The 16521-nt window shown below is 41.4% G+C and overlaps 2 protein-coding genes across 8 annotated transcripts in view; both read left to right on the top strand.

Moving 5' to 3' along the window:
• LYPLA1-TCEA1 (LYPLA1-TCEA1 readthrough) overlaps positions 1-16521 on the top strand; it is a 135392-nt gene that overhangs the window by 104451 nt on the left and 14420 nt on the right. For all 4 annotated transcript variants that reach the window (NM_001425841.1, NM_001425839.1, NM_001425842.1 and 1 more), the window contains 4 exons: positions 3742-3829; positions 9238-9383; positions 10472-10528; positions 12980-13134. In NM_001425841.1, the coding sequence (NP_001412770.1) occupies positions 3742-3829; positions 9238-9383; positions 10472-10528; positions 12980-13134 (446 nt within the window). The remainder of the gene's footprint in view (positions 1-3741; positions 3830-9237; positions 9384-10471; positions 10529-12979; positions 13135-16521) is intronic.
• The window catches only part of TCEA1 (transcription elongation factor A1), a 55893-nt gene that overhangs the window by 24952 nt on the left and 14420 nt on the right, over positions 1-16521 (top strand). For 3 of the 4 annotated variants that reach the window (NR_109901.2, NM_201437.3, NM_006756.4), the window contains 4 exons: positions 3742-3829; positions 9238-9383; positions 10472-10528; positions 12980-13134. The exons of the other annotated variant lie outside the window; for it this stretch is intronic. Coding sequence is in view for 2 of the 3 variants with exons in the window: in NM_201437.3 (NP_958845.1) it covers positions 3742-3829; positions 9238-9383; positions 10472-10528; positions 12980-13134 (446 nt within the window). In the remaining variant the exon portion in view is untranslated. The remainder of the gene's footprint in view (positions 1-3741; positions 3830-9237; positions 9384-10471; positions 10529-12979; positions 13135-16521) is intronic. 4 annotated transcript variants of the gene reach the window in all.

The following is a 16521-nucleotide window of genomic DNA, read 5'->3' as shown; positions in this document are numbered from 1 at the left end:
GGTATCATATCCAGAGTGATTGATAGTAATTTTGAGAATCTAGTCAAAGCCACACTGTATAGTGTATTGTTTTTCCTCTTGTAGCTAATAGCCATTCTGTGGGAGACACTTTTAAGATCCTGAAACTGTCTTACACCTTAACAAATCTTTTTCCTCCCCTCCCAATTTAGGATCCATTGATTTTTTGCTCAAACCAATCTTTGTAGTAGTAGTTGCAAAATTGTGATTTTTCTGACTCCTCTGCTTCAATACTTATAAAATCATCATTCTGTTAGAAGAAGAACCTTCTGGCCAGGCATGGTGGCTCACGCCTGTAATCTCAGCACTTTGGGAGGCTGAGGCAGGCAGATCACGAGGTCAGGAGATCGAGACCATCCTGGCTAACACGGTGAAACCCCATCTCTACTAAAAAAATACAAAAAAATTAGCTGAGTGTGATGGTGAGCACCTGTAGTCCCAGCTACTGCTACTCGAGAGGCTGAGGCAGGAGAATGGCGTGAACCCGGGAGGCGGAGCTTGCACTGAGCCGAGATCGCGCCACTGAACTCCAGCCTGGGCAACAGAGTGAGAGTCTGTCTAAAAAAAAAAAAAAAGACAACCTTCTTTTTACCCCTTAGCTAGTTATCCATTAGTGTAGACTCGCAGGTTCCTTTTCTGTATAATGGATTGTAATACATTACTATTCAAATTTAATTTGCATAAATTTTACCCCTACTATAATTTTACCTATGCTGTGTGTGTACTTAATTTATATTACCTTTTTTAATGAAAATAGTTTGTTTTTCTATCATAACTATTATTTTTATTGGTTTCAGAATGATTTATTCAGTTGACTATACCATATTTTAGTTGATCACTTGCCAGTTGTTAGATTTCTTGTTTTTAACTTTATGGTGGTTGTAACTAATGTCTTGATGGATATCTTTCTGCCTAAAGCTTTTTCTTTACATTGTTAGCTAGATTTCTACATTTACTACTACTGCTACTAGGTAGCACATTGTTGAGTACTTAAGATGTGCCAAGCATTGACCTGTATTAATGCATTTAATCCTCACAACAATCCAATTTGGTAGGTGCTATTATAATCTCCATTTTATGATGAGGAATCTGAGGCACTGAGCGGTTAAATACCTTGCACACAGTTGAATCAGTGGTGAATAGCCAAGCTGGGACTTGATTGCAGACAGCTGGAGTCCAGAGCTGGAGCACCTCCTTCCCAGCTAGCTGGACTGTGTTGCCCACAACACCGTATCAGATAGTAGGAATGCTTCTGAGGCTGTTCATGCCTCTTACTGCTCTGCTGTCTAAAAGGATTGTACTAATTCACTGTGCCAGAGCAGTGTGTGAGATAGTTCTGCTGTCCCTTTGGCAGCATTGGATCCTTGCTGGATCATATTTCATTGTTATATCAGTTTTCCCTTTTAAATGCTTTCTACCCTATTACTTTTGGACCATTTCTTAGTCCTTGCCATGTGTCATTATTAATCTTTGTTTTCAGTGTTACAGTACTATAGCATCTTTGGGATTTGAGCCTTCAAGGAAATTATTGAGAATAACAAGGAGCAGTAAAATTATGTGAAGACTAAAGTGTATGTGCGTGTTTTATCAGAGGGCTTGAATTGTGTTTTAGGTTTGACAAACTTCAACTTTACAAGATGAGTTCTACAGTTGTGATTTCAACCATTCTCTTATCAGTGATTCTCATCCAGACAACTATATATTAGAGTTGTCTAAGGAACTTTAAAAAATAATGATGCTTGCGCCTCACTGCCAGAGATTTGGATTGAATGGATCTGGTTCGGAGCTTGGCATGAGGATATGTTTAAAAGCTCCCTAGGTGATTCTGCTATCCAGTTGGATATAGTTTCTTCTATATTCTATACAGAGAGATGTGAAGAATTGAAAGAATTCTTTATGTAGCCTTTATTGCTTATGTAGGGAGCAAAATGTACTTAACTGGTATACTTTGTACAGTAGACCCAAACGTTTTCTGAACTTAGCTTCAAGGCTATGTGTTTTGTTTTTGTTTTGTTTTTTTTGAGACAGGTATCACTCTGTCATCCAGGCTGGAGTGCAGTGGTGCAGTTATAGCTCATTGCAGCCTCAAGTTCCTGGGCTCAAGCGTTCCTCCTGCCTGGGCTTCCTGAGTGGCTGGGACTACAGGCATGCACTGAATTTTTCTTTTTTTTTTTTTTTTTTTTTGAGACAGAGTCTCACTCTGTCACCCAGGCTGGAGTGCAGTCGCACAATCTCGGCTCACTGCAACCTCCTCCTCCCAGGTTCAAATGATTCTCCTGCCTCAGCGTTAGCTGGGATTGCAGGTGTGCACCACCATGTCCAGCTAATTTTTGTATTTTTAGTAGAGATAGGGTTTCACCATATTGGCTAGGCTGGTCTTGAACTCCTGACCTCAAGTGATCCACCTGCCTCAGCCTCCCAAAGTGTTGGGTTTACAGGTGTCAGCCACCACATTTGACCCCAGGCAGGCACCAGTTTTAAAATTTAAGACTGTGTTGATTGATTTAAAAGTGAATGTTTCTTTGGGCTATTGAAATATTGCACTGACTCAACCTATTTTTATGTACCTTATTTCATAATATCTCATTGCTTACCTCTTTTTTTTTTTGAGACAGAGTCTTGTTCTGTTGCCCAGGCTGGAGTGCAGTGGTATGATCTCGGCTCACTGCAACCTCCGCCTCCTGGGTTCAAGCTATTCTTCTGCCTCAGCCTCCTGAGTAGCTGGGACTACAGGCGCGTATCACCACGCCCGGCTAATTTTTTGTATTTTTTTTAGTAGAGACGGGGTTTTACCATGTTAACCAGGATGATCTTGATCTCCTGACCTCGTGATCTGCCCGCCGTGGCCTTCCAAAGTGCTGGGATTGCAGGCATGAACCACTGTGCCTGGCCGCCTCTTTAAGTCTTAAAGCTTGTGCACTCTGTATTACTTTATAGTTCATTTAAGATAGAGAAGGTACTGGGTAGGTCTTACTCATCCTGAGGTATTTTCTATGAAAGTGTTTTTTGTTTACCATCCCAGAAATATTTGTTTATATTTTGGATACCACCTTAAATTTTCTAACTTTATGGAAATTTATTAAAAACAATATTGCTGTGTATGCTTTAATTTTTATTTTATTTGACTTTATTTTGAGAAAAGGTCTGGCTCTATTGCCTGGGCTGGCATGCAGTGGTGTGATCTTGGCTCACTGCAGCCTCCACCTGCTGGGCAAAAGCCATCCTCCCACTTCAGCCTCCCGAGTAGCTGAGACTACAGGTGTGCACCACCACGCCCGGCTAATTTTTGTATTTTTTGTAGAGACAGAGTTTTGTCATGTTGCCCAGGCTGGTCTCAAACTCATGAGCTCAAGTGATCCACAGCCTCCCAAACTGCTGGAATTACAGGCGTGAGCCACTGCACCGGCCTGTGCTTTCATTTTTAAAGTAACAGTGCAGATATTTCCATATTCTTCCCATCTCTTTGTTCCATATACTTTCCTCCCTTTAGGTTCCCATGGCATGTGAATTTGTAGTTCCCACCAAATGAGGGAATTTATTTGGGAGTGTTGACTGAACTTGCATTGTGAAAAATAGTACATATGCTAATAGCTTATGCAAACTTCATCTACTTGTAGGAAACTTAGGATTTTAGTTCATGTTGTGCAAATAGCCTGTTAACGCAGTATTTTAGTTTTTAGTTTTTACAAATGCTAGCAACTTAAGAGATTTCATAATTTTCAGATGGGCCATCAACTGAGAAAGACCTTGACGAAAAGAAGAAAGAACCTGCAATTACATCGCAGAACAGCCCTGAGGCAAGAGAAGAAAGGTACTTCACAGTATAGACATATATTTATATTGAAAGTCATAGTTTTACTTCCTGCATCAATTCCCCTGTCTAATGTTCCCCTATTTACACTCCTTTTTTTGTTTTCTAATCAAATGGAAGTAGTAAATGTATGTAGCCATGTATTCTAATTTATTTTTTTTTCAGATTTCTTGAACATTTGAGAGGTAGAAGACATTGAATAAATAAGAAGTTATTTATATTGTACTCAACAAGTTTAATTGAATGGGATTGCTGGGGTAGGCACTGATGGAATTGATAATGGAGGTAGTGATTAGGGATTCAAATGGTTGCTTCCTCTATTTACCACATTTTTTTTTTTAGATTTATTTTGGCCCTTGATCTCATTCTCCTTTGCATGCTTTTTTTCTTCCTTTTGAATTTAGCAATTTGTGGCTAGGCACAGTGGCTCACTTTGGGAAGCTGAGGTGGGAGGATCACTTGAGGTTAGGAGTTCGAGACCAGCCTGGCTAACACGGTGAAACCCTTTCTCTACCAAAAAAAAAAAAAAAAAAAAAAAAATTAGCCATGTAGCCATGTGTGGTGGCATGTGTCTATAGTCCCAGCTACTTGGGAGGCTGGGGTGGGAGAATTGCTGGAACCCGGGAGGCAGAGGTTGCAGTGAGCCAAGATCATGCCACTGCACTCCAGCCTGAGCAATGGAGTGAGACCTTATCTTAAAAAAAAAAAAAAAGCCATTTGTTATAAGAACTTAAAATGTGAAGTTCATTAACAAAGAGTTCAGATTGTCCCTCACCTCCTATGAGGCCTTTGCATGTGTTCTTTCCTATTATATCTCACGAACTATGCAGTATTGAACATGTTGCTTACTCATAGTTGGTTAAATACAAATCGTTCTTCTGTTCTTGGGAAGCTGGTAGGTTAACAGTCAACATTGATTTAAAGCAATGGTTCTTGAAAGTGTGGTCCCTGGAAGAGGAGAGAACCTGACAGCTTGTTAGAAATACAGATTCTCAGACTTCGTCCTGTAACTACTGAATCAGGAATTCTGGTGGGGAGGGGCCCAGATACCTGTTTTGAGACAGAGTCTTGCTCTGCCGCCCACTCTGGAGTGCAGTGGTGCGATCTTGGCTCACTGCAACCTCCACCTCCCAGGTTCAAAGCAATTCTCCTGCCTCAGCTTCCCAAGTAGCTGGGATTACAGGCGCCCACCACACCTGGCTAATTTTTGTGTTTTTAGTAGAGATGGGGTTTTGCTATGTTGGCCAGGCTGGTCTTGAACTCCTGATTTCAGGTGATCCGCCCTCCTCAGTGTCCCAAAGTGCTGGGATTACAGGCGTGAGCCACTGTGCCTGGGGTTTTTTATTTTTTATTTTTGAGACAGAGTCTTGCTCTGTCACCCAGGCTGGAAGGCAGTGGCACGATCTCGACTCACTGCCACCTCCACCTTCCAAATTCAAATGATTCTCCTGCCTCAGTCTCCTGAGTAGCCGGGATTATGGGTGTATGCCACCACACCTGGCTAATTTTTATATTTTTAATAGAGACGAGGTTTCACCATGTTGGCCAGACTGGTCTTGAACTCTCAACCACAGGTGATCCACCTGCCTCAGCCTCCCAAAGTGCTGGGATTATAGGCGTAAGCCACTGCACCCAGCCCGTGTTGAGGTATTTAGGACATTAAGGCAACTACCGATTTTAACTTTGTTTCTCAATATTTTCCCAAAATTGATCATGTACTCTTCATGTTAATGTTAATGTCTCATACACTGTTATTTTTTTGTATTTGTATTAACTATATTAAATATATATATTAAACATATTAACTATATTAAAAGAGGTAAGTCAAAGGTAGGCTTAAACAGCAGTTGTTAATAAAGTTTATGTAATTTTTTCTAACGTTATATCCGTTTAGTTTTCTTAAATCTGGAATAGTTCCTCAGTCTCTCATTGTCTTTGTTTTTATTATTTTATTATTATTATTATTATTTTTTGAGACAGAGTTTCACTCTTGTTGCCCAGGCTGGAGTCCAATGGCACAATCTCAGCTCACCGCAACCTCTGCCTCCTGGATTCAAGGGATTCTCCTGCCTCAGCCTCCCAAGTAGCTGGGATTACAGGCATGTGCCACCATGCCTGGCTAATTTTGTATTTTTAGTGGAGACGGGGTTTCTCCATTTTGATCAGGCTGGTCTTGAACTCCTGACCTCAGGTGATCCGCCCGCCTTGGCCTCCCAAAGTGCTAGGATTACAGGCCTGAGCCACCGCGCCCAGCCTTGTTTTTATTTTTTTTTTTGAGACGGAGTCTTGCTCTGTTGCCCAGGCTGGAATGCAGTGGCACAATCTTGCCTCACTGCAACCTCTGTCCCCCAGGTTCAAGCGATTCTCCTGTCTCAGCCTCCCGAGTAGCTGGGATTAGAGGTGCACGTCAACACACCCAGCTAATTTTTGTACTTTTAGTAAAGATGGGGTTTCATCATGTTGACCAGGCTGGTCTCGAACTCCTGACCTCAAGTGATCCACCCACCTTGGCCTCTCAAAGTACTGGGATTACTGTCGTGAGCCACTGCGCCTGGCCTCTCGTTGTCTTTTATCAGTTTTACGTGCTTGACGTGTAGGTATAGAGCCTGTCTGCAAAAGAAAATTACTGTATGTGAAGTCTGATAAAGTAACTGATTGGTATCTATCTACACCCCATCCCCGCCCCAACACACACAGAAATACAGGAGGATTGAGAAATGAATTTTGAGGAGTCATGTAAAGAAAGATAGAAGGTTAAATCTAAGTTGCTTGTAGCTAAGCAGGATTTTATATTTTGGGTGCAAGAATTTAAGAAGAAAGTAATGTGTTTAAATGCTTAGAAAGGAAGGATCAGAATGTAGGAAGTGGGACCAGCAGTAGTGAAACTAGTGAGGAAAAGTTTCCCTCAGCCCATATGGGCAATTTCCCTTGGTTCCTGTGGAGCATTTGGCTACAGACACAGAAGCAAAAGCATTTAATCAAAGTGTTTAAGAACTGGGTTTTTGGCTGGGTGTGGTGGCTCACACCTGTAATGTCAGCACTTTTGGGAGGTCAAGGTAGGGGGATCACTTGAGCCCAGGAGTTTGAGACTAGCCTGAGCAACATAGGGAGGCCCTGTCTCTACAAGTAATAAAAAGCATTAGACAGGTGTGATGGCACATGCCTGTGGTCCCAGCTACTTGGGAGGCTGAGGCAGGAGAACCGTCTGAGTTTGGGGGTCATGGCTGCAGTAAGCCATGGTTGTTTCACTGCACTCCAGTCTGGGTGACAGCGTAAGACTGTCTCAAAAGAAAAAAAAAAAAAAAAAGAAAAGAAATGAGTTTTGGGGCCTGGCACGGTGGCTCAAGCACTTTAGGACGCCGAGGCGGAATTATCACTTGAGGTCAGGAGTTTGAGACCAGCCTGGACAACATAGACCCTTTCTCTACCAAAAAAAAAAGGTTTGTTTGTTGGATTATTTTTTTTTTTTGGAGACAGAGTCTTGCTCTTTTACCCAGGATGGAGTGCAGTGGCGTAGTCAAGGCTTTCTGCAGCCTCAACCTTTCAGTCTCAAGCGAGCCCCCTACTTCAGCCCCCAAGTAGCTAGGACCACAGGTGCATACCACCATGTTTGGCAAATTTTTAAAACTCTTTTTGTAGACCCTGGGTCTCACTATTTTGTCCGGGCTGTTCTTGAACTCCTGGGATTACAGGCATGAGCCAGCTTGCCCGGCCAAAAAATATTTTTAAAATTAACTGGGCATGGTGGCATGCACCTGTAGTCCTAGTTACTCAGGAGGCTGAGGCAGGAGGATTGCTTGAGCCCAGGAGTTCAAAGCTGCATGAGCTGTGATGGCACCACTGCACAACTCTTGCTCTCTTCACCACTGTGAAAAGTCTTGCTCAGTTGCTCAGGCTGGAGTCTTAAAAAAAAAAATAATAAATGGGTTTTTAAGCATTAGTTTGCTCATTCATTTATCACTGAGAGGCATTATGCTACATAATGAAAATACAAAGAAAAGTAAATCCTAGTTTTTGCTCTTGAGAAACTCAGTCTGATAGAGAAGAAAATGTATGAAAAGTTATCATATACAAACCTGTGTGAATCAATATTTTGGGAATACAGGGGGAAATCAGTGAAGGCTTCAAAAAGGAACTGACTAAATTTAAAAGGTACTAATGTCCGTCTGACCCACAGGCACCTGTTTGTGAAGTTTAACAGTGGTTATGTTTTGGAGAGAAGGCAAGGGAGTATGTTCTTGTAGCATTGCAGCAAACCACATCTATGGATGGTGGATGATTTAATCAGTCTTTGAAAAGGGTTATGGCAGCTGTTTTCAATGTGATAAAGCTTAATTGTAATCATGAAGATTATTTTGGAAAGAACCCATTTTAGTGATAATCCAACGTAAGAAGCTACTCAGAAGCAATTGAAAGGATTAGGTTGACTGGAAAATTATAAAACTGCCTAAATGTTCATATCGAGGTGATGTTTCTGGGGAGAAACACACCATTTTGTAGCCTCATGACTCATCAGTACACATGGTATTTGTCTCACTGGGGAACTCACTGTCTAAGTGGAACAAGGTTTTCCTTTTTCTTTTTGTTCTTTTTTTTTTTTGAGGTGGAGTCTCGCTGTGTCACCCAGGCTGGAGTGCAGTGGTGCAGTCTTGGCTCACTGAAACCTCTGCCTCTGGGTTCAAGCGATTTTCCTGCCTCAGCCTCCCAAGTAGCTGGGATTACAGGCGTGTGCCACCACGCCCAGCTAATTTTTGTATTTTTAATAGAGACGGGGTTTCACCATTTTGCCCAGGCTGGATTTGAACTCTACTGGCCTCAAGTGATCTGCCTCTCTTGGCCTCCCAAAGTGCTGGGATTACAGCTGTGAGCCACCATGCCCAGTGAAACAGAGTTTTTCAAGCATTCTCTCTCTCTATCTCTAGTTTTGGTTGAAAGCTGTCATTCTCTGGTGTGAACCTGGGAGGTGGAGCTTGCAGTGAGCCGAGATTGCACCATTGCCCTCCAGCCTGGGTGACAGAGCAAGACTCCGTCTCAAAAAAGAAAGCTGTCATTCTCTGGTCCCATCCCTTCATCCCTCTCCTTATACCAAGATCATTGCTTTTCATTTATTGTACTGAGCTATAATGGGTATTTTCTCTATTAAAAATATTGCTTAATATTTAAAATGAGAATCAAAGATAAAATGTTTAGTTCAAAAAAAAGGCATACTTGTCACTTTACTAAATTGTAAAATTTTTAACTTCTTTTTAATCTGTATGCAGGCAATTTTTTTTCCATCACATAAAGGTCACTGAGATACTGTGTCATTTATTTAGACCCCAAATTTTGTTTTTACAGCATGATAGTAGTATTGTTACTTTGAAAGGATTGTTCTTGATTTCTTTTTGGGGTGTTTGTGCGTATTTCAGTACTTCCAGCGGCAATGTAAGCAACAGAAAGGATGAGACAAATGCTCGAGATACTTATGTTTCATCCTTTCCTCGGGCACCAAGCACTTCTGATTCTGTGCGGTTGAAGTGTAGGGAGATGCTTGCTGCAGCTCTTCGAACAGGGGGTAAGTCCAGTGCATGTTATTTCTCAGTCCTTTGGTCACCACCCACAACCACTGCCATCTCCAACTCCATATTGCTGTTTGATGAGTGTTACCCTGTGGATAGCCCACCCACTGCTGCTTAGCTTGGGGAGAAGTTGTTGCTGATACGGGTCTGTTAAGGGGGAGAGGAGGAGGAATACTGGGGCATTTGCTTATTACTATGTAATTGTAAGAAATAGATTCCCTCTAATACATGGATGTTTTCCCTGATTTCATAGTAATGTACACTTTTTTCTCACAAATCTTTTGTTTCCCCACAATTTAATCTGCAAACTACATACCCTGATCTTATATTGAGAGTTAACAATACTGAATTGTTGAATAGTATGACATATAGTATGAATGTTTTCCATTTTCTAGTTAGAAAAAGGGAGGGTGAGTCTTGATTTATATATGGGAGCTTAATTTAATTTGAAAGTATCCAGTCTTAACATGTAACATTTGGATTTAAAGTTTTATATACAGGAATATTTGTTATTTTATACGAATTCATCCTTTTTCTTTTCTCTCATTCTGCACCATGGCTAGTTTGACCTGATTTTCTCCTTACTCTGCCCTTTCTACTTTGATTTCCTGACTGTCTCTTTTATTTTTTCTGCCTAGTTTATTTCCTTCTATCCTCTTGCATATTTGTATAGCAGTCTTCTGAGTGTGTCTGTATATGTGATTGGCAGATTAACTAAATGATTTCTTTGCATTGAAGCCTGAGTCACAGGAGACTAGACAGTTCTTTCTGTAACTTTCTCTACTCTGCTGGAGCAGCCAGAATTTATGGAGTTACGAAAAATGAATTGCCTGCTAGATCAGTTACTTCCTGTGCCTGAGGGATCAGGAATCATCAGTGCAGGAGCACTGTGGGTATCAGGTGAAGCCCAGAAAAGAAGTCTAGCGGGCAGTGAAGTGATCAGATTCTAACGAACTAAACTGAACGGTTTCTTTATGTCAGGCAAATGGGGTTTAAGAAATAGGAATGCAGTTTAATTACCTGGTATTAGAATTTTCTTTTAATCTGTTACAATAATTTGACAATTCTTTATGCCTATTTTTAGATGACTACATTGCAATTGGAGCTGATGAGGAAGAATTAGGATCTCAAATTGAAGAAGATATCCTTTGTGTGTATATTCATAATTGTTTTTTTTAATAAGTAATATTTATTGAACATATGCAAATGCCAGGCACGGTTTTACATGCAGTAGTCCTTCCAATGAATTAGGTGCTCTCATCCCATTTTACAGAGAGAAAACAGAAGCAGAAGAGGATTGGTCATTGTTCTAGATCACACAGCCTGACACTGACAGGGCTGGGATTCCATTGTAGGGAATTTGGCTCCAAGCCCATGACCTTGACCACCACGCTAGACTTTTTCCTTCATGTTGAAGCTGAATGAACTAGAAACAGCGAAGTTTAAAAGGACCTGGCTCTTTGGAAACTGAAACATATAAATCCCTAGTAAAATTGCTTCAGATAGCAGGAGAGTGAAAATATGATTGAGAACAAGAAAGGCAAACCGATAACATAATTAGAAGAGATTACAAAATACATGAGAACATTGGGTGTATCTCGTTGGCAATTTGAAAACCTAAAGAATTTCGCTTTCCTAGCAAAACATGAGTGTCCAAGATTGACTTTATGTACTTGGCAGGACAGGCTGTGTTATATTATGGTGACAACCTTGAAATTTCAGTGGCTTAACACCACAGAGGTTTCTTTCACAGATTAAACTGGACAAACAGGAATGTATTTGTCCTATATGTTCATCACAGGCTAGCTGAGGACTCTGGGCTTTGGGTCATTGTCCTCTAGGACCAGGCAGGTGGATTGGCCATTGTGAGTGGTGATGTGGCAGAAGGTAAAATGGATAAATTGCATACTGGCTTTCAAAACTACTGCTGAGGAGTGACATCTATTACTTCTGCTACCAGCCAGAAAGGTCTCTTGGTGTCACACAACTTCAAGTGGTCATAATTGTTTTAAGTAATCTGCTAGCTTAATTTTTCCTGTTGGTATAGAATTCAAAGTCTTATTCTTCACTTTTTATCTTGATTGTATTGTTTTCTTGGAAAGGAGAGGGACATCTATGTCATTTTATTTGTCTTGTTTTTCCTGTTATTGAAAAGGAAAGTACAGTATTGATGGCATTTATGACATTTAAATTTTTCTGCCTTGTAGATTGAGACTGTAGTGTCTGAATTTAAGTTGTGCAAAAGGGCATGGAAAGCACACACATATAAATGTGAAGACTTCTCAGTTAGGGGGACCTCAGAGCACACACAGTCACCTGAGCTCATTATCCCAGAGGAAGCGTGTTCTTGCTAAGCACCGGGAAAGGGCTCCAGGAGAGGGGTACTGTGTGTGAGTAGGGGCAGGGAGCATCTAGGTGGCTGTGTAACATGAGATTGTCCTGGTTGAGGAAATGGCCTTATTAGGAAGGGAGCTGTTCCAGGGTTCAGCTTTGGCAGTGGCCTCTTCTGCAGAGAAGAAGAGCCTGCTGAGGTAGCTCCTGCTGAGCTGGGGGAGGAGAGGAACCCTCACGGCCATGCTGAATGGTCTCTTCTCAGAGACCCTGTGGGAACTGTGTGACCAGAGAGACTTTAGGATCCTTAGTAGAATTCGGATTTGGGCAAGTAAAGCTTGAATAAGTTCAAGCTCCTTTTCAAACATGTGCTTTCTCATGTTGAGTACTTGAGTTACTTTTTGAAACCCTGTTGACTTGCATACTGCTGGCACTAAACATTTAGGAAATAAAACATGACTAGGCCGGGCGCGGTGGCTCACGCCTATAATCCCAGCACTTTGAGAGGCCGAGACGGGTGGATCACCTGAGGTCAGGAGTTTGAGACCAGCCTGGCCAACATGGTGAAACCCCGTCTCTACTAAAAATACAAAAATTAGCCGGGCATGGTGGCAGGCGCTTATAATCGCAGCAGCTACTCGGGAGGCTGAGGTAGGAGAACTGCTTGAACCCGGGAGGTGGAGGTTGCAGTGAGCTGAGGTCCAGCCTGGGTGACAGAGTGAGACTCCTTCTACCCACCTTCAAAACAAACAACTACTTTACAGTGTAAAAGTAATATCACTATTATTCGCCAATTACAGCTCAAGGAATTAGATATAGTACCTTGTTTTTAACATACTCTAAATTGGAAACAGTTGTCGTGAATTGCTTAGAAATTTCAGGTTTGTTTTTTTTTTTAAGATGGAGTGTCCCTCTGTCGCCCAGGCTGGAGTGTAGTGACCTGATCTCAGCTCGCTGCAACCTCTGCCTCCCAGGTCAAGTGGTTGTCCTGCCTCAGCCTCCCGAGTAGCTGGGACTGCAGGCACCTGCCACCATGCCTGGTTAATTTTTTGTGTTTTTAATAGAGACGGGGTTTCATCATGTTAGCCGGGATGGTCTCGATCTCCTGACCTCGTGATCCACCAGCCTCAGCCTCCCAAAGTGCTGGGATTACAGGCATGAGCCACCGTGCCTGGCCTCAGGAATTCTTATTTTGGCAGAACAGGAAAAAAAAGTGATCTTACTTTTGTAATTTTGCCTTTTTTCCTTAACGGCCTGGTACCTATATATCAAGAAATAAGGAATACAGACATGAAATACAAAAATAGAGTACGAAGTAGGATATCAAATCTTAAAGATGCAAAAAATCCAAATTTAAGGAAAAATGTCCTCTGTGGGAATATTCCTCCTGACTTATTTGCTAGAATGACAGCAGAGGTGAGTATGTGTGAATCTGAGGTTTCTATAATGTGATTCTGTGTTGTGAAGTGTAAAGCCTATTATCATCATAGACTACTATATAAATATTGCATATGTAATAAATTTCCGTTATTCTGATATATTTATATACTAGACAAATACTTAAGGTGATTGTGTCTTTTGTCAGTACTTTGCTCCCCCTCCAACTGTTTCCATGCTTTTAATGTGATTACACTAAATTATTTTCTAAAAACAAACGTGTTTTACTTTTTTTTCTTTCGAGACAGAGTTTTGCTTTTGTTGACCAGGCTGGAGTGCAATGGCACGATCTTGGCCCACCGCAACCTCCCCCTCCTGGGTTCAAGCGATTCTCCTGCCTCAGCCTCCCAAGTAGATGGGATTACAGGCGTGCACCACCACACCCAGCTAATTTTTGTATTTTTAGTAGAGACAGGGTTTCTTCATGTTGGTCAGGCTGGTCTCGAACTCCCAACCTCCAGATGATCTGTCCGCCTTGGCCTCCCAAAGTGTTGGAATTACAGGTGTGAGCCACCACGGCTGGCCACCAAGTGTTTTTTACTTTTTATGAATTAGTGTAGAACCAGAGAGTTGAATCTCTTAATTGCAAGTACACTTTGTAAGTGCTAACCTTTTTTGTGGTTAAACACTATAAAATTGGTCACATCATATTGATTATTTCTTTTTTTTTTTTGATACGAAATTTTGCCCTTGTTGCCTGGGCTGGGATGCAATGGCATAGTCTTGGCTCACTGCAACCTCTGCCTCCCGGGTTCAAGCGATTCTCCTGCTTCAGATTCTCCTGCTCCTGTAATCTCCTGCTGGGATCACAGGCGTGAGCCACTGTGCCCATCCTATTGATTATTTCTTAAATTTTTACAGGGAATTATGGAAAAAATGAAATTTATAGCTTGCTATTTATAGACATGGTTGTTCATAGATATTAGCTATATTGTATCTACAATTTCAACGTTTTAGTGAACATTGAAGAGAGTGAATTTTTCTTCTGTACACAAACATACCTCAGATACATTGCAAGTTTGGATTGGACTACTGCAATAAAGTGACACACGAGTCACACAAATTTTTTGACTTTCCAGTACATATAAAAGTTATGCTTATACTATAATCTACTAAATGTACAATAGCATTACATCTAAGAAAACAGTGTACACCTTATACCTTGCTAAACAATGTACACCTTGCTAAAAATTGCTCATGATCATCTGAGTCTTCAGCAAGTCATACTATTTTTCTGGAAAAGGGAATTGCCTGGATGTTGACGGCTGCTGACTGATTAGGGTAGTGGTTATTGAAGGTTGAGGTGGCTGTGGTAATTTTGTAAAATAAGACAACAGTGAGATTTGATGCATTGATGGAGCAAATATTCATGAAATATTTCTTGGTAGCCTGTGATGCTGTTTAATAGCATTTATCCATAGTAGATGTTCTTTCAGAATTGGAGTCAGTGCTGTCAAATGCTGCTGCTGCCTTATCAACTAAGTTGACATATTATTCTAAATCCTTTGCTGTCATTTCAACAATGTTCACAGCATCTTCACCAGGAATAGGTTCCATCTCAGGAAATTACTTTTTGCTCCTCCACAAGAAGCATCTCATCTATTCAGCTTTTATTATGAGATTGAAGCAACTCAGTCACATCTTGAAGCTCTACTTCTAATCTTCCTTCTCATGCTTTTTCCATTACATCTGTGGTTACTTTCATTTTTTTTTTTTTTTTTTTTTTTTGGTGGGGAATGGAGTTTCACTGTTGTCGCCCAGGCTGGAGTGCAGTGGTGTGATCTCTGCTCACTGCAACCTCTGCCTCCTGGGTTCAAGCGATTCTCCTGCCTTAGTCTCCTGAGTAGCTGGGATTACAGGCGCCCGCCACCAAGCCCAGCTAATTTTTGTACTTTTAGTAGAGACAGGGTTTCACCATGTTGGGCAGGCTGGTCTCAAACTCCTGACCTCAGGTGATCCACCCGCCTCGGCCTTCCAAAGTTCTGGGATTACAGGCGTGAGCCACCGTGCCTGGCCCCTCTGTGGTTACTTTCTCTGGTGAAGTCAAACCCCTCAAAGTCATCCATGATGATTGGAGTCAACTTTTTTCAAACTCCTCTAAATGTTGACATATTGACCTCTTCTCAATGAATCACTAATGTTCCTAATGGCATCTAGGATGGTTAATCCTTTCCAAAAGGTTTTCAGTTTACTTTATTCAGATCTATCTGAAGAATTACTTTTTGTAGAAGCTACAGCCTTGCAAAAAGTATTTCTGAAATAATAAAACTTGAAAGTCAGTTGGGCATGGTGGCCACACCTGTAATCAAAGCAGTTTGGGAAGCCGAGATGAGCAGATCACTTGAGTCCAGGAGGTGGAGACTAGCCCGGGCAACATAGCAAGTTCCCATCTCTACAAAAAAAAAAAAAAAAAAGAAAACTTAGCTGGGCATGGTGTGGTGCGTTCCTGTAATCCCAGCTACTCAGGAGGCTGAGGTGGGAGGATCACTTTAGGCCAAGAGGTGGAGGTTTCAGTAAGCTGAGATTGCACCACTGCGCTCCAGCGTGGGTGACAGAGTGAAATCCTGTCTCAAAAAAAAAAAAAAAAGTCAGAATTACTCCTTGATTCATGAACTGCAGAATCAATGTTGTTGTTAGCAGGCATGAAAATAACATTAATCTCCTTGTATGTCTCCATCAGAGCTATTGGATGACTAGGCATATTGATGACTAAGTGCATTGTCAATGAGTAGGAATATTTTGAAAGAAATCTTTTTTCTGAGCAGTAGGTCTCAATAGTGGGGTTAAAATATTCAGTAAATCATGCTGTAAATAGATGTGCTGTCATCCAGGCTTTGTTGTTTCATTTATAGAACACAGACAGAGTAGAGGTAGCATAATTCTTAAGGGCTGTAAGATTTTCCAAATGGTAAATGAGCATTGGCTTCAACTTGAAGTCACCAGATGCTTTAGCCCCTAACAAGAGAGTCCTTCAAAGTCCTTTGAGGCTTTGAAGGCAGGCGTTGACTTCTTCTCTTTAGCTGTGAAAGTCCTAGATGTCACCCTCTTCCAATATTCATCAACATTGAAAATCTTTGTTTAGAATAGCTACCTTCATCAATGATCTTAGCTAGATCTTTTGGATAACTTGCCGTAGCTTCTCCATCAGCACTTGCTGCTTCACCTTGCATTTTGTACTATGTTATGGAGACAGCTTCTTTCCTTAAACCTCATGAACCAGCTTCTGGTAGCCTCTTGACTTTTCTTCGGCAGCTTCCTCATCTCTCTCAGCATTAAAGAGTTAAGGCCTTTTTCTGGATTAGGCTTTGGCTTAAGGGAATGTTGTGGTTGGTTTGATCTTCTGTCTAGGCCACTAAAACGTTTTCA

Source organism: Homo sapiens, chromosome 8, assembly GCF_000001405.40.
Source record: "Homo sapiens chromosome 8, GRCh38.p14 Primary Assembly".
Lineage (NCBI taxonomy): Eukaryota > Metazoa > Chordata > Mammalia > Primates > Hominidae > Homo > Homo sapiens.
The sequence above is the reverse complement of the archived record's forward strand: the minus strand, read 5'-3'. Positions and strand labels throughout refer to the sequence as shown.